Genomic DNA, 24,149 nt, shown 5'->3' on the forward strand with positions numbered 1-24,149 from the left:
TAATCCTTTTATCACCTCCCCTCCACACATCCAGTCCGGCTTACAGTTTCATTCCGTGACTAGCCCTCCCCCACCTGCCCAGCAATTTCCTCCTAAAAAGGTGGCTGGAGCCAAAGCCACAGTCAAGGTTAATGCTCTTTTTTCTTTATCCCAAATCAGATAGTGTTTAGGCTCTTTTTCATCAAATATAAAAATCCATCCCCGTTCATGGCTCGTTTGGCAGCACCCCTGAGACGCTTTACAGCCCTAGACCCTAAGAGGTCAAAAGGCCGTCTTATTCTCAATATACGTTTTATTACCCAATCTGCTTCCGACATTAAATAAAACTCCAAAAATTAAATTCCGGCCCTCAAACCCCACAACAGGACTTAATTAACCTCGCCTTCAAGGTGTACAATAATAGAGGCAGCCAAGTAGCAGCATATTTCTGAGTTGCAATTCCTTGCCTCCACTGTGAGACAAACCCCAGCCACATCTCCAGCACACGAGGACTTCCAAACGCCTAAACCGCAGTGTCCAGGCATTCCTCCAGAACCACCTTCCCCAGGAGCTTGCTACAAGTGCCAGAAATCTGGCCACCAGGCCAAGGAATGCCCGCAGCCTAGGATTCCTCCTAAGCCGTGTCCCATCTATGCAGGACCCCACTGGAAATAGGACTGTTCAACTCACCTGGCAGCCACTCCCACAGCCCCTGGAACTCTGGCCCAAGGCTGTCTGACTGACTCCTTCCCAGATCTTCTCGGCTTAGTGGCTGAAGACTGACGCTGCACGATCGCCTCGGAAGTCCCGTAGACAATCACGGATGCCGAGCTTTAAGTAACTCTCACAGTGGAAAATAAGTCCGTCCTCTTCTTAATCAATACAGAGGCTACCCACTCCACATTACCTTCTTTTCAAAGGCCTGTTTCCCTTGGCTCCGTAACTGTTGTGAGTATTGACAGCCAGGCTTCTAAACCTCTTAAAACTCCCCAACTCTGGTGCCACCTTAGACAATACTCTTTTAAGCACTCCTTTTAGTTATCCCCACCTGCCCAGTTCCCTTATTAGGCCGAGACACTTTAACTAAATTATCTGCTTCCCTGACTATTCCTGGACTACAGCTACATCTCATTGCCGCCCTTCTTCCCAATCCAAAACCTCCTTTGCGTCCTCTTCTATTCCCCCACCTTAATCCACAAGTATAAGACACCTCTACTCCCTCCTTGGCGACCGATCATGCACCCCTTACCATCTCATTAAACCTAATCACCCTTACCCCGCTCAATGCCAATATCCCATCCCACAGCATGCTTTGAAAGGATTAAAGCCTGTTATCACTCGCCTGCTACACCATGGCCTTTCAAAGCCGATAAACTCTCCTTACAATTCCCCCATTTTACCTGTCCTAAAACCAGACAAGCCTTGCAAGTTAGTTCAGGATGTATGCCTTATCAACCAAATTGTTTTGCCTATCCACCCCATGATGCCAAACACATATACTCTCCTATCCTCAGTTCCTCCCTCCACAACCCATTATTCTGTTCTGAATCTCAAACATGCTTTCTTTACTATTCCTCTGCACCCCTCGTCCCAGCCTCTCTTTGCTTTCACCTGCACTGACCCTGACACCCATCAGTCCCAGCAGCTTACCTGGGCTGTACTGCCGCAAGGTTTCAGGGACAACCCTCATTACTTCAGCCAAGCTCTTTCCCATGATTTACTTTCTTTCCACTCCTCCGCTTCTCACCTTATTCAATATATTGATGACCTTCTTCTTTGTAGACCCTCCTTTGAATCGTCTCAACAAGACACACTTCTGCTCCTTCAGCATTTATTTTCCAAAGAATATCAGGTATCCCCCTCCAAAGCTCAAATTTCTTCTCCAACCATTACCGACTTTGGCATAGTTCTTCATAAAAACACACGTGCTCTCCCTGCCGATCGTGTCTGACTAATCTCCCAAACCCCAATCCCTTCTACAAAACAACAACTCCTTTCCTTCCTGGGCATAGTTGGATACTTTCGCCTTTAGATACCTGGTTTTGCCATCCTAACAAAACCATTATATAAACTCACAAAAGGAAACCTAGCTGACCCCATAGATCCTAAATCTTTTCCCCACTCCTCTTTCCATTCCTTGAAGACAGCTTTAGAGACTGCCCCCACTCTAGCTCTCCCTGACTCATCCCAACCCTTTTCATTACATACAGGTGAAGTGCAGGGCTGTGCAGTCAGAATTCTTACACAAGGATCAGGATCGCGTCCTGTAGCCTTTTTGTCCAAACAAGTTGACGTTACTGTTTTAGGCTGGCCATCATGTCTCCGTGCAGCAGCTGCTGCCTCCATAATACTTTTAGAGGCCGTTAAAATCACAAACTGTGCTCAACTCACTCTCTACAGCTCTCATAATTTCCAAAATCTATTTTCTTCCAAACACCTGATGCATATACTGTCTGCTCCCTCGCTCCTTCAGCTGTACTCACTCTTTGTTGAGTCTCCCACAATTACCATTGTTCCCGGCCAGTACTTCAATCCGGCCTCCCACATTATTCCTGATACCACACCTGACCCTCATGACTGCGTCTCTCTGATCCACCTGACGTTCACCCCATTTCCCCATATTTCCTTCCCTGTTTCTCACCCTGACCACACTTAGTTTATTGATGGCAGTTCCACCAAGCCTAATCGCCACACACCAGCAAATGCAGGCTATGCTATAGTATAAGCCACTAGCCCGCCTCTTAGAACCTCTCATTTCCTTTCCATCTTGGAAATCTATCCTCTAGGAAATAACTTCTCAGTGTTCCATCTGCTATTCTACTACTCCTCAGGGATTCTTCAGGCCCCCTCCCTTCCCTACACATCAAGCTCAGAGATTTGCCCCCACCCAGGACTGGCAAATTAGCTTTACTCAACGTGCCCCGAGTCACAAAAACTAAAATACCTCTTAGTCTAAGTAGACACGTTCACTAGATACGTAGAGGCCTTTCCTATAGGATCTGAGAAGGCCACCGCAGTCATTTCTTCCCTTCTATCAGACATAATTCCTCAGTTTAGCCTTCCCACCTCTATATAGTCTGATAACAGACCAGCCTTTATTAGTCAATCAGCCCAGCAGTTTTTCAGGCTCTTAGTATTCAGTGAAACCTTTATATCCCTTACAGTCCTCAGTCTTCAGGAAAAGTAGAACAGACTAAAGGTCTTTTAAAAACACACCTCACCCACCTCAGCCACCAACTTAAAAAAGAATAGACAATACTTTTACCACTTTCCCTTCTCAGAATTCAGGCCTGTCTTCAGAATGCTACAAAGTACAGCCCATTTAAGCTCCCCTATAGATGCTCCTTTTTATTAGGCCCCAGTCTCATTCCAGACAACAGACCAACTTGGACTATGCCCCAAAAAACTTGTCATCCCTATTGTCTTCTGTCTAGCCATACTCCTATTCACCATTCTCAACTACTCATACACGCCCTGCTCTTGTTTACACTGCCGGTTTACACTGTTTCTCCAAGCCATCGCAGCTGTTATCTCCTGGTGCTATCCCCAAACCACCACTCTTAACTCTTAAAGTAAATAAATAATCTTTTCCGGCAAGGCTATGCTGAACCTCCTTAGGCACTCTCTAGTTAGATGTCCTAGGTCCTCCCAATTCTTAGTCCTTTAATACCTGTTTTTCTCCTTCTCTTATTCCATTTAGTTTCTCAATTCATCCAAAACTGTATCCAGGCCATCATCAATAATTCTAAATGACAAATGTTTCTTCTAACAGTCCCACAATATCACCCCTTACCACAAAACCTTCCTTCAGCTTATCTCTCCGACTGTAGGTTCCCACGCCGCCCCTAATCCCGCTCGAAGCAGCCCTGAGAAACATCGCCCGTTATCTCTCCCTATCACCCCCCAAAATTTTCGCCACCCCAACACTTTACCACTATTTCGTTTTATTTTTCTTATTAATATAAGAAGACAGGAATGTCAGGCCTCTGAGCCCAAGCTAAGCCATCATATCCCCTGTGACCTGCATGTACACATCCAGATGGCCGGTTCCTGCCTTAACTGTTGACATTCCACCACAAAAGAAGTAAAAATGGCCTGTTCCTGCCTAAACTGATGACATTGTCTTGTGAAATTCCTTCTCCTGGCTCAAAAGCTCCCACACTGAGTACCTTGTGACCCCCACTCCTGCCTGCCAGAGAACAACCCCCCTTTTTCCTTTACCTACCCAAATCCTATAAAACGGCCCCACCCCTACCTCCCTTCGCTGACTCTCTTTTCGGACTCAGCCCACCTGCACCCAGGTGAAATAAACAGCTTTATTGCTCACACAAAGCCTGTTTGGTGGTCTCTTCACACGGACGCACATGAAAGTATATGCATGGCTTTTTGTGGCACACTATTGCACACTTAACAGACTACAATGGAACATAACTTTTTTTTTTTTTTTTTTGAGACAGAGTTTTGCCCTTGTCACCCAGGCTGGAGTGCAATGGCGTGATCACAGCTCACTGCAACCTCTGCCTCCTGGGTTCAAGTGATTCTCCAGCCTCAGCCTCCCGAGTGGCTGGGATTACAGGCGTGTCACCACCATGCCCAGCTAATTTTTGTATTTTTAGTAGCGACTGGGTTTCACCATGTTGGCTAGGCTGCTTTCAAACTCCTGACCTCAGGTGATCTGCCCGCCTCACCCTCCCTAAGTGCTGGGATTACAGTATGAGCCACCGCGCCTGGCTGGAAACATAACTTTTATATGTGCTGGGAAACAAACAAACCAAAAATTAGTGTGAGTAGCTTTAGCTCGGTAGTCACTTTATTGCCATGGTCTGGAATGGAGCCTGCAGTGTCTCTGAGGCGTGCCTCTGCCTGGAACAGAGCCTGGAACAGAGCCTGCAGTGTCTGGGAGGCATACCTCTACAAGGATCACTGTGCTGATCCAGCTGTTGTAGCATCGCCAGGGCTGGTGGTAGAACCTCCAGTTGTGAGCCCTAAATATAACCACCTCCATGCCCAGCTTCTCTGGGTTCCACCTACAGGAGAGGTTTGTAAGTCAAGAAATCAGTATTTACAGAAACTACTGGGAGCAGAGCAATTCTCTCACTGAAACTGTTCTGAGGCCGGGTGCAGTGGCTCATGCCTATAGGCCAAGGTGGGCGGGTCACTTGAGGCCAGGAGTTCAAGACCAGCCTGGCCAACATGACAAAACCCTTTCTCTACAAAAAATACAAAAATTAGCCAGGCATGGTGGCACGAGCCTTTAATTCCAGCTACTTGGGAGGTTGAGGCAGGAGATTTGCTTGAACCTGGGAGGCGGGGGTTGCAGTGAGCCAAGATCATACCACTGCACTCCAGCCTGGGTGCATTCTATGAGATCAGTGTTACCGTAATACCAAAACCAGACAGATACTACAAAACAAAAGAAAACTACAGACCAATATTTGCATGGACATAGATGCAAAAATCCTTAATTAAATATCAGAAAATCAAATCCAACACTGGACAAAAAGAATTATATACCTAGACCAAGTGGAATTTATCCCAGGTATATAAGGCTGGTTCAAAAAGAGGAAGTTGTTGGGAATACAAGTTCCAACTCTGGGCAGTCCAAGTATCTGATGGGTATTCTTATTAGTCCCCTGAGGCCTTTGGTAATCACTAATTAGAGTTATGAGTAATGACATCCAAGATAATGCACATGTTCAGCTCCCGCAGGCCATGATCAGGAGGAGGAGACACAGATAAACAGTTCAGGCTGAATGCGGAGCTATGGACTTTTCATAGCAGACATTTTATTTTTGTTCTAGCGACTAATTGATGTAAGAAGAGTATAGATTATTGTACAGATAAGAACACGGGGGCTCATAGAAGTTACATGGGTTGTCAGAACTCTCATAACTAATGAGTGGAAGAGACCATCTTTTGTCTTTTCGGCCAAAAAGTCAGGTCTGCAGCCTAGCACAGTGGCACCGCCCAGAAGATCCCAGGCCAGCTGAATATTGGCCACGCTGGGGGAGTCTGTTGGGCTCTGAAGCACCACTGGAACTGGACGACTTTAGTTTCTCTTACAACAAGTATGGGAAATCGGATGTGCCTCTGGGAAGCAAAGTGACCCAGGGCCTCTGCTAGACTCTGCAGGATGCAAGCCTGTCTCTCCTCCATCCTTCAGTCTGTAGGCGTGTCAGGCTCAGGGCTGCCGGGCGTAAGGCAGATGAGAAGTGTGGTAGAAAAAAAAGCCACCAAACTAGATGCCAAAAATCTATGTTGAATCACGGGACAGCCACAAGACAGCCACTTTCTACCCGCGTGATCTTAGTTGAACGGCCCTCGGTCTCCTCATCTGTGAAGTCGAGGAACTCAATTACATACTCTGTTGTGTTTCCATCCAGTTTTATTATGAGCGATTCTAAAATGGCTCCAGGGCCCTTCAGGGGCCGCTTGCGCCTTCCAGAAGTCCACCCAGTGGAGGCTACTACAATACCATCTTCTTACCTGGAAGAAGAGAGAACTGAGAGCAGGAGGCAGGTGCCACCCCTGGGAGAAGGTTCTCCTCGTCTGCTCCAGCTGTGCAAACCCCAGCCATCTTCCAGGTCAAGACCCTGCTCTGAAACAGCAGATCCCATAGCAGCAACCCAGCCTTCCCCCACCCGGCCCCCCACTGGGCCCAGCGCACCTTCTATCCCCAGGTCAGCACCTCCCCACCGATTCCACTGCCGAACCACACCCCTCACACTTTTGCAATTTCCAAGTTGAGCTCTGAGTCTTACTTTCCAGAATGTTCCAAAGGTGCAAACCAGGACAGCCCCACCCCCCATCCCTCCCAGGCTCCCCATGGCCTAGAATTCACACTTTGGGTACGCTGTGTTGGCTGTAGATGGCTTTCTAATCTTCATATTTTGGGGGAGGGTATGGAATGGGAGGTGGGGAGAACTGGCTGCCTGGCGTTTCCTTGTGTTGATGCAGATGTGGTTTTGCACCTGGTTTCTGGACTTTGCTTGCGGTCACAGCCAGGGCTGTGAGGTAAGTGAGCCAGCCACTAAACAACTGTCCACAGAGCTGAAAATTCTATCCCAGTAGCAAAGGAATCCCCTTGGAAGGAGAACTGGAATATGACCACCAGCAAGGCCACTGCTTTCATGCCTTCCGGGCAGGGAAAGGGGGAGGCAGGTGGAAGAAACATAGGATGGAGATTTTCATGCCCAGGGTACAAGAGGAGGCAAATCACCCATGACTCAGGCACAGGGGAGAAAGGTCAGTCCTGGCTCCAGCTTGGCGGGAGTGGGGGTGAGGGACAGATTCAGCAGGGACAGGCTGATGCGATCCCCTCCCTCTCTCTCTCCCATCCCCCTACCAAATCTGTTCCTCTCCTCCATATCAGTTATCACATTATCACTATCTGCAAGCATCTTGATTGTTACTTGCTCACCATTTCCCGCTCTGCTTCTTGCCGGGAAGAAAGTAATATAGTTTGAATGTGTGTCCCTGCCCAAATCTCAGGTTGAATTGTAGTCTCCAGTGCTGGAGGTCGGGCCTGATGGGAGGTGTTTGCATGATGAGATAGATCGCCCATGAACGGCTTAGGCCATCCCCTTGGTGATAAGTCAGCTCTGGCTCTGAGTTCACATGAGATCTGGTCATTTAAAAGTGTATGGCACCCCCTCCCTTGCTCTTGCTCCCGCCCTCACCATGTAACATACCTGCTCCCCCTTTGCCTTCCACCATGACCGGAAGCTTCCTGAAGCTGCCCCAGAAGCAGATGCCACTGTGCGTCCTGTACAGCCTGCAGAACCGTGAGCCAATTAAACCTCTTATAAATTATCCAGCCTCCCAAACTTCTTTAGAGCAACGCAAGAATGGCCTAATACACCAAATTAGAGTTAAAGGAAAAGGAGGCTAAGAGAGGTTAAGTTATTTGCCCATGACACACAGCTAGTAACAGAAGCAAGACCTCTTCCCAGGTCTTGGGACCCCCTAGTTAATTGTCTCATGCATCATATGTGATGTGCCTCATTGTCCCTTGAAAGCAATGACAAGCTCCTCACCTCCTTTCCTCCACTCAGTGAAGCAATGGGAGTGCCCGCAGGCCATTGCAGGGCTCCCATGGTGAGCCTTCCCTCCACCCTGCCAGTAGCAACAGAGTGGACCCAGGGAGCAACGTCCCCAGGTCTGGACTTTCATCCCAGCTCCACCACATGCAAGGGCCAGTGGCTGAAGATTTTTGAATCCCAATTTTGCCAACCATCCTGTAGAAATAACACCTCACATGGTTGTGAGGCAGAAGTGTGGGGAAAATGCTGAGCTCCGGCGGCCTTTCTGAGCACCGCATCTTCCTCTGAAAGCGGAAATAACGAGACCTAATGTGAGAGGTGGGGGCGAGGATTAGGTGGGGCAATGTGCTTAGAGTTAGCAGAGGGCTCCGAGGCAGTTAGCACTTGGCAAGTGGGAGCTGATGTTATCAGTTAATACCGAGGTCTTTCCCGGGGGGGACTGCCTGCACCCCCAAAGTGTTCTAGGGCGTGGAGAAGCACATTCTGAGGGTAGGAAATGAGCAAGTGGTTCCCTTCCCCTGAGGCTCTGGTTAGCACTCACTGAATCCTATTTTTTTTTTTTGGGAGAGGGTCTCCCTCTGTCACCCAGGCTGGAGATAGGAACAAAGCTAAACAGCACATGTTCTCACTCCTATATGGAAGCTAAAAAAAAAAAAAGATCTCATACAAGCAAAAAGTAGAATAGAGTATACTAGACGCTGGGAAGGGCAGGTGAAGGGAGAAATAAGGGGAGATTTGTTAAAGGATACAAAATAGGCCGGGCGTGTTGACTCATGACTGTAATCCCAGCACTTTGGGAGGCCAAGGTGGGAGGATCAGTTGAGCCCAGGAGTTCAAGACCAGCCTGGGCAACATAGTAAGACCTTGTCTCTACAAAAAATAGAAAAATTAGCCAGGTGTGATCCCAGCTCACTGCAACCTCCGCCTCCTGGGTTCAAGCTATTCTCATGCCTCAGCCTCCCAAATAGCTGGGACTACAGGCATGCACAGCCACGCCTGGCTAATTTTTGTATTTTTTTGGTAGAGACGGGGTTTTCTCATGTTGGCCAGGCTGGTCTCGAACTCCTGACCTCAAGTGCTCCACCCACCTCGGCCTCCCTAAGTGCCAGGATTACAAGCGTGAGCCACTGTGCCCAGCCAATCCATATTTCACATGTGAAAGTAAATCTACATTTTACATGAGGTAAAGTAAGAATGTGCCATTACAGCTTTGCGTTTGGGAACAAAAGGAGGATAGTTTTTGTGTGACTCAGTTCCTAGCTGAACTTTTCCCTTTGGCATAGTGAGTTTGGTGTCCTGGGATATGATTTTTTGTGTGTGTGTCGTCCTTGCTAGCATTCACCATTGTCTCCCTCCTCTCCTTGGACGTCAGGGAAGGCAGAGTGGCCCCAGGTGAGGTCCGGTGGCTGGTCACGGGCTTCTCCTGGCCCGGGTGAAGCCTAGTTCTCAGGCAGGGATGAAAGGGTGCTGCACCCAGCAAGCCTGCTTTCCTCCTCCCTGCTGAGAGGTTGCCGGGGAGGCCCTGTGCTGTGAGCTCCTAGGAGGCAGGTAGGCTGGGGATTCGGGGAACGATGAATGCAAGTACTCCCTGAGCAGGGCGCTGGGTCAGGCCTCTTTCTGGGGTTGAGAAGCTGGGAAGCTCTCAGGACATCTGCTGCCATCTCAGGCTCTGCGGGGTGGGAGCTGTGAGGTGTGTAGGGAGGAAGGCCAGACTGGGAAAGTCCAGGCTCCCACCTCTGACCCGTCACACTCATGCTGTGACCACGGCCAAGGCACACCCTCCCTCTGAGCCTCAGCCTTTAGCCTGGAGTAGTCTCTGAGATGCAATACTAGCTCTGAAAAGTGAATCCCTGCCCCTTGAGCACTCAAAATAAAGTATTATTAGTCCACTCCCATCTGAACTAAATTTTGGATAGGGATCCATGGGCTTCTAATACTAATCCTTTGTATCTGATTTGTTTGTATTTCGAGCATTTTATTTAACTCCTTTTTGTACTTTCTCTCTGCTGAAATTCACTGTCATATATGTTGCTTATCTTTTCTGGTATATCTTTTAATATAGTAATTATAGTTATGTTTAAAGTTGCTGTATAATAGCTGCAATATCTGGACCATCTCTGAGTCTGGTTCTGTTGATTGCCTTATATATTGACAGTTTTGTTTGTTTCATAATTGGAATGGCATCCATCATGTGTAGAAGAAAAATAGAGACTGAGTAAAGTAGTGTTTATACCTGGAAAAAAAATATATTAGTCCACTCTTTTGTGTTAGATTTCAGAATTTAATGTTACAGACAAGCACTCACGGATTGATTCTCCCCTCTGCCCCTGAATAATTCCAAGAGTTCCCCAGACCCCAGGCCAGCCTCCTCTGTCCCTCCTGCCCCTACAGTGTCCTATCCAGGCCCTCTGACTCCCCAGGCCCTGTCTGACACCTGCTCTGTTTTCCCAAACAAAGAGAGTGAGGCCCTACATCTCCCTCACAGGCTTACGTCCACCCCCAACAGGGCTTTCCTGACACTATGCCCCAACTTGCAATGCACGCCAACCTTTGGTAACCCAAAGAGTCAAATGCTGGCCACTTGCTTTCAGACAGACGTTGGTAGCTACAGAAAAGATTAGAGGGTTGTAAGACCTTCTTGGACCCTCCAGGCCAGAACACATGGGTGATCGGTGATGCCACTGAGGTAGAGGGCTTGTGTCATTCTCGGTGTGAATCAGATGTCAAGGGCAGGATAACCAGCTGGACATGAGTTGAGTAAGGACTTATCAGGGACCAGGACTCTCTCAGTGTCAGACAGCGTCTCACTGCGTTCAGCCTGTCACAGGCATTTGAACCAGAGCAACTCCATCTTGAATAGAGGCTGGGTAAAATGAGGCTGAGACCTACCGGGCTGCATTCCCAGGAGGTTAAGGCATTCTTAGTCACAGGATGAGATAGGCGGTTGGCACAAGATACAGGTCACAAAGACCTTGCTGATAAGACAGTTTGCAGTGGAGGAGTGGGCCAAAACCCACCAAAACCAAGATGGCCACGAGAGCGACCTGTGGTCGTCCTCACTGCTACACTCCCACCAGCTCCATGAGAGTTTACAAATGCCATGGCAACATTGGGAAGTTACCCTACATGGTCTAAAAAAGGGAGGCATGAATAATCCACCCCTTGTTTAGCATATCATCAAGAAATAACCATAAAATGGGCAACCAGAAGTCCTGGGGGCTGCTCTGTCTATGGAGTAGCCATTCTTTCATTCCTTTACTTTCTTAATCAACTTGCTTTCACTTCACTGTGTGGACTTGCCCTGAATTCTTTCTTGCATGAGATCCAAGAACCCTCTCTTGGGGTCTGGATCCAGACCCCTTTCCAGTAACAAGCCTAGCAACTGTGAAAGGGCCAAGTCCAGAGTTCAGACACTTCCTAAAATAAAGCCTCCCCGGCCGTCCCTTCTTCTCTAGTCAAAGGCGCAGCTACGTGTGCAGCCCTCAGAGGAAAGAAAGCAGAAGAGTTGGACACATCGTTAGGCTCTTTCTGCAGGCGGGGAAGCTAAGAACTGCATTCAAGGCCTGGCTTGGCCAAGCTTTTACCCCACAGCTGACGGGATCTAGAGTCTTGTCTCCAATGTCAGTGCTGGCAAAGATGGGACACCTGTCCCGACCCAGTGCCCTACACAGGCCTTCAGAAGGTCACCCAGAGAGCCAGACACACGGCTCCCGGGGAGCAGACCTATAAACAGCATCTGGATCTGGGCATGCACACTCCCGGCCCGGCATACAGGGCGGCGTGCACAATCCCGGGCACAATGAATGGTCCTGTTGGCCAGGAGATGGCTTGTATTCATCTGAATTGTTTGGGTCTGAGCCAGCCCCTTGTCCCCAAGCAATGCCATTTTGGCTATTGTGCCGATGATGGCTGATGATTATCTTGGTTGTTTATCCAGTTGCTCTATAGATTGACTTGCTGAATGTCAGGGTTTGACTGTTTCCATAACAGGAAGCTGCTCACTGTCTCACTGTATTAAGGAACTCTGGTCTACACAATAGAGTTCCAACAAAACCCTAAACACTCCATTTGCTGGGGGAACCTCATTGAATCCAGCTCTCATTGTTTCTTTTATAGGCTGAATCCTGTATTTACAGTGAGAGGGGTGTGTGTGGCTGTGTGTGCACGTGTGTGTGTGTGTGTGTGTGTGTGTTCGCGCATGCACATGTGGGTTTAACAAGATATGAAGCCTGGCTTGTCACCTTCCAAGTTCTCCACTTGAACTTGAGCATAGATCAGGGTGCCATGATTCCCCAGACAGAGACCTGCTAGGGTGGGAGGGAGTGGGGATGAGCAGGACCCTGCCCCTGGGGAGTCTCTCCTCGGTCCTCCCAGTGTCGCCGGACCCAGGGTCGCCGTGCAGTCAGAGGAAGTTAAAGCTTTTGTTTTCATACCGAGGCACAGTCAAACAGTAGAACAAAACTCCCAAGTCAGCGTTGAACCCAGGCGCCAAGACCCTATGGAGGAAACAGAAGATGAAAGGGGAGACATTCGGCGCTGGTTTCTGTCACTATTATTTATTACCTTCTGGGTGGTTCCATGCCCCTGGGAGTTTCCCAGAAGCTCTCCAGGCACCTGGTTAAATCGCATGGATTCCTTTTTGATTTTATCTGGCTCTCTCCTCCCATCCTCAGCTGCCAAGGAGCTTAGAGGAGAAACAAAAGGAGCACGACTGGAGGAGTCTGATCTCTGTGGGGAGCTGTTTCCTTCAGGACAGAGGCTTGGTGCCCCCGGGGGGTGGGTAACTAGAGTTGGCCAGGCGCTCCTGGCGGGCACAGGCCTCCCAGCCTAGTACCTGGTACAGGGCAGGCACCCAATTGCCTAACAACCTGAATGCCTAAAGATGCTTCTGAGTGTGCAGTCCGTTGGGGTGCAAGTCTAGATAGAAAATAAGCCTGGGCCGGGCGCAGTGGCTCATGCCTGTAATCCCAGCACTTTGGGAGGCTGAGGCCGGTGGATCATGAGGTCAGGAGTTCAAGATCAGCCTGGCCAACATGGTGAAACCCTGTCTCTACTAAACAAATAAAAAATTAGCCAGGTGTGGTGGTGAGCACCTGTAATCCCAGCTACTTGGGAGGCTGAGGCAGATAATTGCTTGAACCCAGGAAGGCAGAGATTGCAGTGAGCTGAGATCACACCACTGCACTCCAGCCTGGCCAACAGAGCGAAACTCCGTCTAAAAAAAAAAAGAAAAAGAAAGAAAGAAAAGACAACAAGCCTGAATTCTTGGGGTATGACTCCCTGCTACTTTTAAGACTTGAAAATGTAAACCCAGGTGAGTTTTGGCATTTTTGCCTGATGTAACCATTTAAGCCACTGGAACAACTTGTCAACTCATCCACAGTGATTAAGTGGAGGTGTGAGATGTGCCTGCCTTCCACAGAGCATGAAGGCCATTCCTTAACACCATTCATTCTCATATGGGGAGGAGGAGAGAGCTACTCTACTCGGATGTTAACACACAGATTGTACAGAGAGAAGTAGGGTCCCAGGTTGCAGAGGCCACCTGGCATTAGACGTCCACTACTAGGACCCTTTCTCCCCTTCACAGTGAGGTGACTGGTCTACCCAGAAGGAGCCCAGTGGAAGCCTGGTGGTGACAGAAGTGGGACTGTTGGTTCTCAGAGGGAGCTGGAAGATACTACAGCCATCATCTAGTTCAATCCATTTTGCAGGACGGAAGAGTGAGGTTGAGCAAGTCAAGCAAAGTCCTTGAGGTCAAAGGAGGCTGGCCTCCTCCCTCAGCCTACAGGGAGGGGTCAAAGAGAGAGGTAGCATTCATCTGAAAAGCCCAGCTAAGAAGGGAGTGACAGCTCTGCCACCCAGGGAACCAAGGAAGCCAGAGAACATGGACACAGGGCCTTTGTCACCAATGACTGAGCCCGGGTTATTTTAAATTACCATGTACATTGTAGCTCCAAGCGTCTTTCAAAGAATATTCAGGTTTCCCAGGGAAACATTCAAGTTACATAAAGCACAGATGTCCATGCCTTCCCCTCTCTTAAATTAGGTAAAATTGGAGGTCCTGGAGAGATAGGTGTGCTTGAATCTTGTTTCTTAGAATAAGCTCCGAATTGACAAAGCCTCCCATTCTGTTTGCAAAGACCTGACCTGGGGAGATATATATGCCAGCCAATCCATTGGATCTAAACAGGCAGAAAAAGTGTTTTGCTTTGCTTTTTAAATTATCCAACCAAATCTAGATAGTCCTGTATCCTAGTGTTGACACAGTTCTAAGAGCCATGTAGTCAAACCTCACCCCGATGCTTCACACTAAATACGTTGCTGAGATGGAAATCTCTGCTTTTGCTGAAGGTGGTCCGTGTCTTAAGGATCAAACTCTCATGTGCACCTTGCTCCACTTGCTTTGGAGGGTTCCCTGAAGACAGAGCTCCCATGGGAAAGCTGTGCAGCCCTCACAGCTGTCATGCTAGCTGTTTAGCAGTAGAGGGCATTGTTTACTTAAAATCCAGGCATGAACCTAGGCCAAGAGAAAGTCAGCATTCTGACATCTTAAGAGTGGTCATCTGACCAGCTGCCCAGTCTCTCCCAAACCAAGTCCACCCAGCCCAATAGATGAGAAGGCTGTACGTTCACAAAGACCTCTCCTGCCTTATTCAGGAACTCAGTGTGGGTACAGCAGATCCTCCCTATCGAGAAACCCTTCAACCAACCTGCACCCATTGTGTTCCATTTCCTCCCGTTCTGTTCCACTGACTTTGAACCTCAGGTTCACATTGCAGCAGATCAGATTACTTCCCCAAAATGCCTTCCCTCTATTATTCTTGTTTACCGGGCATTCGCTACCATGTTAATGTCTCTAGGGTGGAGGACAGGGTAGGGTTGGAACAGGACAAATTGGGCCTAATTTAAACATTGGAAGATTCAATGTAACATTGTCTGAGAGTTCAGGATAAAGCTTGATCTTGTAAATGGTAAATAAAGAGCATTTGATTTTTTATTGGGCTTACAAGTAGGAAGCCTGGTTTCTATAAACACATGCAAAAATCAGAGTCACTCTTACCAGGCTATGCTTCTTGGAAAAATGTCCCTAAAACACTTGAAATACTGATAATTCTTTCAATATTAGCCATTTTTTTTGTGGCTAATGTTAACATTATTTGTGTTGAGGTTTGGCCTTAGTGTAAGGTATAGTGTGGGAGCTTTGTGGGTAAAGCTAGCAGAGGTGAAGCCTCAAAGCACTCTCGCAACGTGTTCCCACAGCCATTTGTTCATGAAATTTGCAAAAGTAAATTTCATCACAAATTGGTGAAGACTGTTGTTTGTTTTCCCTCTGACTTTCCTTCCGTTGTACTTGTCCTATTGGGTGGCATTGGAGTGGCCAAGGACATTTTTGAAATCTGGCTAAGGGGATGTTGAGTTGAAGACTTATTTAGGCAGCTTTAATGGGATCTAATCTGACCATCCATCCATCCATCCATCCATCTATCTATTCATGTATCCATCATCAATCCACCTATCTATCGATCTAACCATCTCTCTAGCTATCTAATCTATCTCAGCCATTTCCGTAGAACGTAAGCGTCGATAACTTTCCTGGTGTAGACATGGCCTGCAGGCACTCTCTGGGGACCCACCAGTGCCACAAGGTGAAGATACAAGGCTGGTCACGGGACCTCTGCGGGAACATGTCTTAGGGCTTCCGTGCGTATCCAGTGGAAGAGAAAGAAGATTTGAAATGTACAGACCCAGAAGCTTGTAAGGATCATTTTTCTGGTTTTGTGATATTTGTGGAGATTTTTAGCTTTTGAAAAGTGCACTATTTGGGCAAAACTATAGAGACAGTATAAAGCTCAGTGGTTGCCCGGGGTTGTGGGGAGGCAGGGATGAACACGCTGAGCACAGAGGATTTTTACGGCGGTGAAACTCCTCTGTATGATAATGTAATGGTGGGTACAGGTTATTACACATTTGCCAAAATTCACAGAATGTTCAACACCAAGGATGAACCCTAATATAACATATGGACTCTGGGTGATGATGACGAGTCAATGTAGGTTCATCGATTGTAACAAATGCACCACTCTGGGGTGGGGGGATGGTGATGATAGTGGGGGAGGCTGTGTGTGTGGGTCGGGGCATATATGGAGATTCTCAGGACCTTCTGCTCAATTTTACTGTGAACCTAAAACTGCTCTAAAATATAAAGCCTATTTTAAAATCTGTTATTTGTTGTGATTAACTTCCCCATGCCCAGTCAATATGAACTTCTGAGCCTAATTATGCATTCACTGTCTTGGACTCTGCTTCTGCCAGTGTCGAGGTTGTTGGCCGCCACAAACCCTGGGTCTGCCCTATGTGTGTAGCCCATCCTTTCAGTTGCATGGCTCATGCTGACAACTGGCCCATTTTCCCATTCAGATTGCTGCTGTCTTTTTGTTTGTTTGTTTGTTTTGGTTATTTTTTGAGATGGAGTCTTAACTTTGTCACCCAGACTGGAGTGCAGTGGCACAATCTCCGCTCACTGCAACCTCTGCCTCCCGGGTTGGAGAGATTCTCCTGCCTCAGCCTTCTGAGTATCTGGGATTACTCAGCCACCATGACCCGCTGATTTTTGTATTTTTAGTAGAGACAGGGTTTCCCCATGTTGGCCAGTCTGGTCTCGAACTCCTGACCACAGGTGATCCTCCCGCCTCGGCCTCCCAAAGTGCTGGGATTACAGGCGTGAGCCACCACGCCAAATCCAGATTGTGGCTGTCTTGATGGTGAAGTGTCTCCCATTCTGGCGTTCAGCGCAAGAGGGGAACGTGTTCTCTGGCTGGTGTCGCCGGCCCCTCTCCTCGCACGCCACGCTCACCCCCCGACTTCTTTGCAGGGATGGTGCCGTCGGGCCTGCCGGGCAGGGTGTGAGGAGCTTCGTCCTGAGATCGCTGGTCACTTGAAGGTCTCGGGAGAGGGCGTCCTGCCCTGCCAAACTGGGTCGCCAGGAGCCAGAAGGTTCCCTCAGTGTGGCCATCCCTGCCCGGTGCTTCCATCCTTCTAATGGCTGGGAGGCCTTACTTCCCAGCCTGTTGGGTACGTTTTTGTTTCTAGAAGATTCTGAGTTTCCTCCTTCTGCAACACAAAATGAAAGGGTTTTATATTTTGATATCTCCGAGTTCCTGCTTGGCTAGAGGGAAAGAAATGGGTTTTTTCAGTAACCAAGATTCATGAGGGTGAATTTTTCTTCCCAGAAAAGCTGCCATCCAGATTATCCTGGGCGCACAAAGCCCTGTCGTATCCGCACTTGCCAGCAGAGGGCGACACACAGCCGCCTGCAGGGACAGAGCTGGAGAAGGCTCCAAGGATCTGTCCCGGACCAGCGGGGCCACCAGGCGGCTTTCCCTACTGCACCCACGCCCCCTGACAAAGTGGCCCCATCTAAGACGACAGCAGAGGTTCCTGGGCCCGAACATCTGAGCCAGGCTGCGCCGGGGGCGTCAGACTCGGATCATCCCCTGAGCCCTGGAGAGCCAGCCTGGCCCTCAGGTCTCCCCTAAAAAGCTCAGGGAAGGATGCTGGGGAGAAACTCCAGGGAGGAACAGACCCCCCGCCCACCTCCTTCGGCCAGAACATCCCAAAGACCTCCCTGCAGCATTCCAGACCCTACACGGGGGTCTTAGAATAGGGTTACCCAAGAAAATACAGAACTCCCAATTAAATTTGAATTCCAGATAAAGAACAATTTGTTAGTAAGCCTGCGCCAAATATTGCGCAGAATGTGCATATATTTTTAAAAGTGGTCTTTGTTTATCTGGAAATTCAAATTTAACTACGTGTCTTGTATTTTTTATCTGCTAAGTCATTACCACTCTCTTAGTGAGGTTCCTAGAATATTCTAGTCCAGCACAGACCAAAAGTGGGGTTCCTTCTCCCTTACACCAGCCCCTTCTCCCCAAAACTCCTTGGAGGAGCTTCCATACCAGGCCCGCTCCAATCTAAACCCCTCACTTCAGAAAGGGCAAGGAATAGTGGATGCTACAGACCACTCGAACCGAGCCACCCTAACCTCTTCTTGTCTGATGGACAGTCCACAAAGACTCGCATTTCCTCGACTTTCTTTGGTCCTTTCAATAAAGCAATAGGCCTGTGCTTAACAGAGAGGGAAACTGAGGCACAGAGATTCCAACCTGTGCAGGGCATCAACTCAACAGACACACTTGGGGGCACAGCATACGCCTCCCAACATCATAGCGGCAAAGTGGGTGCCTGGGCTGGAGTCTCCTTTCCCCCACCCTGAGCACCGAGACCAGGATTCCACACAGAGAGCACAGACATGTGTTCGGTACCCCTCTGCCCAGCACACCAGACGGCCGGGACTCGGGGAAAGGCCTGTGAGACCGCCTGTGCCTCTGCCCCTGCCAGCAGGACACCTGGGCCGTCCGTGCAGCCTCGGCGACAGCCCCAGCGGCAGCCTCAGCGGCAGCCTGGCTTTCCTGTACAGCCGCTGCAGGGTGTAGGATGCTGATAACGGGAACAATGCTGCAGAGGAAAAGTGGCAGAAGCAGGACAATGAGCCGGCGGCAGGACTCTCCCAGGCCAGCGGGAGCGAGGAAGGACTCGCGGGTCCCAGGGGCCAGGCTGGAGACTGCGCTGCGGCGGGCACTTGGGGGACGCCACAGGCTCCACTCCCCAGGGAGGCAGCCACACATCCCTGTGGGTTGGGCAGGTGGAGACAGGGACTCCTGCCCCTGAGATGGGTCCTTCCTGCCCTCCATGTGCAGGAGGGCAGGTCACCTGTCAGAGTGAGAATCGAGCGGCTCCCAGGATGGCCACAGTTCTGATCGCAGGGGATCCAGGAACCTCTCACTCTGTCGCTCTCCTGTCCCTCCAACACCCAGCAGGAGGCCTTCTCACCCCGAGCCCGTGAGTGCATCTGTGTCCAGCACAGGACACCCAGGTGGGCCTGCCCGTCACTCAGGTAGGCTGGCCACTGGGGCAGCAGGGAAACAAAATACCTCGAGGCTTGGCCCAACATCGGACCATATTGTGGAGATGGCCACGTGCCTTGTGGGAGCTGCTGAAATGGTCCCCAAGAGCAGCTGCCTCTGCCTGTGAGTGGCATCTATAATCCCACCCTCCCAGCCGGAACGGGAATCCTCACCGGGGGTGCCCAGGGAGCGAAGGCTAAGCCCCTTTCCTCTGCAGCATTCACAGGGCTGGGGTTGAGACCACGTCTGTGGGTTCACTCCCCAGCTCCACCTTATACTGAAAAGGCCTTAGAGCAACCTATAAGATGCAAACAGTATAACGGGATAAAATACATTAATAAGGAACAAAATTGAGGGGAAAAGAAACACGGAAGAAAGGTAAAATGGAGCCAGGAGTGAGGCCAAATCCACGAAGGTCACACCATGAAGCCAGTATGGCCAGGTCAGCCGCTAACATAGCAAGAAAGAAACACCACGGCCCGTCACGTGGAGGAGGAAGCCCAGGTGTTCTTTTCTGATACTAAAACCAAAGGAACTTCTCAGGCAAGGTCTTCCTGCAGAGGACGTGGTGTAAATCCATGGACTCCTACCCCGGGGTCTCACTGTGACCACAGCCTGCCCCTCCCAGGGCTGTCTCTGGGAGATTCTCTCAATGATAGGCAGGGGCAGCACAAGGACGGCCGGTCAGGAACAGAGACAGAGGCCACTGTCTACCATCCACGTGTCCAGCCCTCTGCTGTGTGGCTTCAGGTAGGGGCAGACTGCCTGCGTATAGAGAGGCCCCCGCAGTCCTCAGCCTGCCCATTCCTCAGTGGGCCCTGGCTAGGTGTCAGGTAGTCAGAGCTGGAGCCGTTCCTCTGGCCGTGCATGCTCCTGGTTCCTTGCTGACCTCCCTGCTGAGCCCTGTGCTCTGGGTGGGGCTGCCGCCCTCTTGTGAAAGGCAAGACATCTGAGAGGCCATCCAGCCCCTCTCCACCCTGGACAGCAGGAGGCCAAGACCTGGCCTGATGAGAGTGCACCTTGTCATGTGGTGGGTCACCCGCCGAGCCCAGCCCCCAGCACCTCCCCTGGCGGACACCTGCAGTCACCTCAAAGCATCAGCTGTGACGGGGAACAGCAGGCTCAGCTGGTAGGAGCCAGGGAGGGCAGCTCTTGAGGCCTCCGACTCCACCCCTAGGGGGCCCACACGCCACTGCCCAGGTTGGGCAGGTGCATGTTCTACGCCAGGTGCTGCCCTGGGGCCAATGGTGGGTCCCCAGCATGGAGCTGTGCAGTTCAGAGGGATTCTAGCACCTTCTCCGGGTGGGGACCAGGAGACCTTTGCATTTGCTGCCGTGGTCCAACGGGCCACTGCCTCTCCCTCACATACGCAGGGGAACCACACTGGACTGGGTCCCCAGCAGGGCCCTCCCCAACACAATCAAGGCTGTTGCTCCAGAGCTCCTATTGTGGTCTGTTTTGTCAGCACTTGGCTTGCAATCAACAGTGGTGACACCAATTACTTGTGTCACAGCTTCTAGGGAAGACGGAGATGTATGACACCCAGCATGGGGGCCATCCATCAGGGCCTGAGAGGGACCGAGGGCCTGTCACAGTGACAGGGAGTAGGGTGGCAGGGGGGAGGTGGTGAAGCCAGAGAATCTCAGGACAGCAGGGTGGCAAAGTGGTTTACATCATCAGAATTAGTGTCTGGGCAGGGAGTGAGGCCTGGCTTCCAGGAGCCAGGCATAAGCCAAAATGCCTCCCTCTCCCCCGACGCCTGAGCTCTGGCCAGGCTGGACCCTGGCCGTCTTCCAGGCCTCTGCACGGTGGACACTTCTTTTCCCTGCCCTGGGATCTCCCCCACCCCAGCTCTCCTCTTTCTTCAAGGAGCCTTTCCCCATTTACTCCACCCCCACCCCAGTGTGAATGTGCTTTCTTGCTCCTGGCTGAGCAGCAGCAGCATTCAAAACCGTTGAAGCCAATGTCAGCCTGTCACAATAACTAACTTATTAAACATTCACGATGATGTGTCTGTACCACCTGAATTCCCACAACCACCAAGGTATGTGGGAGGCGAACGTGTAAACTGAGGTGCAGAGACATCGGGAACTTGCCCTGAGTCATGCTCTTCATGAGCAGAGAGTGGCAGAGGGGCAAACTGCAGGCACGGAAGAAGGCGTGATGGGGTCCACACGCTGCACCTTTAGGACCTACAGATGTGCTACTGGGGACCCCGGGCTAGATCGAGGCAGGACAATGGCTGGCTGGATGATCTGGTTCTGGAAGTTCCACCAGCCTCCGGAGGATGTGGGCTTTCAGGGATGCCTGCCAGGGGAGAGAGAAGCCCACACCCCCGTCTCTGCTGACTCATGCTCTGCCGGTCTCCAGATTCTCCCCACAAGAGACCCTTCCCTTGGAGGAGCTCTCCAAGTCTCCCGCTGATCTTTCTGCATCAGTTTTCTCATCTGTCCAGATGGGTGGGTCTAGCAAGCCTGGCCTTGACTCTTCATGGGTCATGCTGAGGGACAGAGGAAACCCAGGTGGGCTTTGTAAAATGTACAGGGCAACTCACCCGTGAGGTGTCGTCTGCTGCGTTCCTCTGATCTATCTCTGTGGGGCTGGGGAGGGGAGGGCAATGGAACCCTGAGCCGTGGAGAAGTTCATGTCTTAGCCATGGTTGAAAAAGCCTGAGGCAGGGGCTGGGTGCCAGTGGCTCATACCTGTAATCCCAGAACTTTGGGAGGCCGAGGAGGGCCTGAGCCCAGAGGTTCAAGACCACCCTGAGCAACATGGCGAGACTGCATCTCTACCAAAAAAAGCAAAATAATTAGCCAGGAGTGCTGGTGCACACCTGTAGTCCCAGGTACTTGGGAGGCTAAAGTGGGAGGATCACCTGAGCCTGGGAGGTAAAGGCTGCACTGAGCTGTAAACGTGCCACTGAACTCGTCTGGGTGACAGAGTGAGACTCTGTCTCAAAAAACAAAAAGAAAAAAAAGGCTGAGTCTGGTGGACCCCAGGCTCTAAACCAGAACTACTCGAGTCCAGCACATGGCTTTGGTTCTACTCCAGGGAGTGTCATGGAAATTTAGGGGTGACTCAGCCCCGTGTTTCAGAGTGGAAAAGGACTTTAGCAATGTCGTAGGTGAGGAAACAGGCCCAGAAGAGTGAAGGAGCTGGCTCAGCGTTCAAGGTCATCCAGCTTATTACCAAAGAGCTGACACCAGAACACGCCTCTCCAAGTGGCCAGGAGGGTCCCCCTATAACGGTCCCCTAGGGGGTCTTCCCAGAAGCCAACAACTGGTGAGTACGGAATTCTTCTGTCTTCAGTCTCGATTCTTCGTTCCAGAGACCACTTTCACCGCGGCAGTGTTAGGAGCTTCTCAATCCACGTCTCCTTCAAGGAATTAATGAAGGAGCGAGGCCTGGGACCCGCAAAGAACTTCACAGAATCGTCGAATAAGTCACCTGCTGTGCCGCTGAGGAGGTTCAGGTCAAAAGGGTGTGGCTCGGTCAAGGTCTCACCCCCTGTGCTGGAGAGGACACCCCGGCACAGCCCCTGGTTCTGCTCCTGCGCTGCCACAACCCCGTGCCTCCCTGCACCCCAGGGCAAGTCACCCGCTCATAGCGCTACCTGCCAGGATGGGACTGGCCCAGCCTGGGCCACTGTTCTAGCTGCTCTCTCCTTGATCTTCCTCACTCCTTCCCCAGCTCTTGATTTGCTGCACACCACAGCTCACCCGCAAATGCTAAATAAATGCATCCAGACCCCCAAATGTGGGGAACCAGGACCCCAGTGCCTGCTGGCTGCCTCGGGGCTCCTGCCTTGGGGCTCCCGACTGAGGGAAGGCAAGCCAGGGATGGAAAACGCACCATCAGCACTTCTGTTATTTAACGGGGCCCTGTTGCATTAATTAATTAAACGTCTTCTGTTTCTGAGAAGCAGCAGAGCTGTGACTGCTTAGAGCTGGGATGCAGGGGGTGGTTGAGACTCCATCCTGTTTCCTGGAAGGACATGTGGAAGCAGAGCCTAGAGTGCTGAGAGAGGGAGTGGGCAGCTCCCGTCTCACCCCCTGGCTGCCACCACGCCTGAGTGTAAACCGGGTGTAAACCCTGAAAGGCTTTGCATCCTCGTTTGGGCTCAGCAGGCTGCGTGGAAGGGGCTTCAAGGCTCCGGAGGAACACACTAGAAAGGGGAGGGAAAAAAGGCACAGGGAGGGAACATCACACACCGAGGCCTGTTGGGGAGTTGGGAGCAAGGGGAGGGAGAGCATTAGGACAAATGCCTAATGCATGTGGGGCTTAAAACCTCGGTTGACAGGTGCAGCAAACCACCATGGCACATGTGTACTTACGCAACAAACCGGCACGTTCTGCACATTTCCCAAAACTTAAAGCAAAATGTTTTTTAAAAAGAATAAAATCAACTGTAATTGCCCCGCACCCCTCCCCCCAAAAAAAAGACAGCAAAGAAAACACACATCGGCTCAGGGAGCGGCGTAATGGGAAGATTTCAGCGTGATGTATGGTGCTGGGGACGTTATTAATGGTTTGCTGATTTTTACCTTTAAAACCTTTGGGCAGATTATTTATTATGTCCTTGCCGTGCCTATGATCTATGGAGGGGCACTAATCTCCGAGCAGGGCCTCTCACATTCCCGCTCTTCGACAGCGTCTTAATTAGGCCAGAACGCTGCCCTCCCCACCCCGGCCCTGTGCCCACCCCTGTGCAGGAAGGTGGCGATCTGATGCTTACTCTCTCAGGCCCATGGAGCCTGCAAATCAGAGAACCCGGTTCCTACGCCTAGCTTGGCACTGACTTGCTGTGTGACCTTAGGCAGGGACACAACCTCTCTGGGCCTCTATGCTGTTCTCTCTCGAATGAGAGCGCTGCACTACACAAGCTGCAGTGACACGGAGAGACAGCATGGCAGAGCTAAGACGCAGCAGGCGTGTGGCCCTCCTGGTGGCAAAGTCCTGTGCTTCTATGGCATGAGAATTGGGAAACAGCGACGGGGCTTCAGTGGCTGACTGTCACAGCCCTAGACACCGAGGGTTTCTGGGTATGGTGAGAAGTCCTCCTTTCTCGTCTTGGCACTGGTGCTGTGGCTGCTAACCACAGCATGGGCCTCTCGAATCCTTGGCTCCCAGAGCGGAGAAGGGGCGCCTGAGTCCTCCA

At 50.7% G+C, this 24,149-nt stretch overlaps 1 long non-coding RNA gene across 1 annotated transcript, besides 1 other annotated feature; it reads right to left on the reverse strand.

Annotated features, from left to right (window-relative positions):
• Positions 1-5,733: 5,733 nt before the first annotated feature.
• On the reverse strand, positions 5,734-8,101 carry LOC105379237 (uncharacterized). Its single transcript, XR_002956671.2, has 3 exons — positions 8,016-8,101; positions 7,671-7,753; positions 5,734-6,465 (listed from the first exon to the last, which is right to left on the reverse strand). It is a non-coding gene; the product is annotated as an uncharacterized LOC105379237 (long non-coding RNA).
• Positions 19,452-20,328: an enhancer, noted in NCBI's record as "H3K4me1 hESC enhancer chr8:10449944-10450820 (GRCh37/hg19 assembly coordinates)". NCBI's record gives its function as "activates a minimal SCP1, AML or CMV promoter by ChIP-STARR-seq in primed H9 embryonic stem cells {active_cell/tissue: H9 hESC(primed)}" and the evidence as "EXISTENCE:reporter gene assay evidence [ECO:0000049][PMID:30033119]".

The sequence above is a fragment of the Homo sapiens genome, chromosome 8, assembly GCF_000001405.40.
Source record: "Homo sapiens chromosome 8, GRCh38.p14 Primary Assembly".
NCBI lineage: Eukaryota > Metazoa > Chordata > Mammalia > Primates > Hominidae > Homo > Homo sapiens.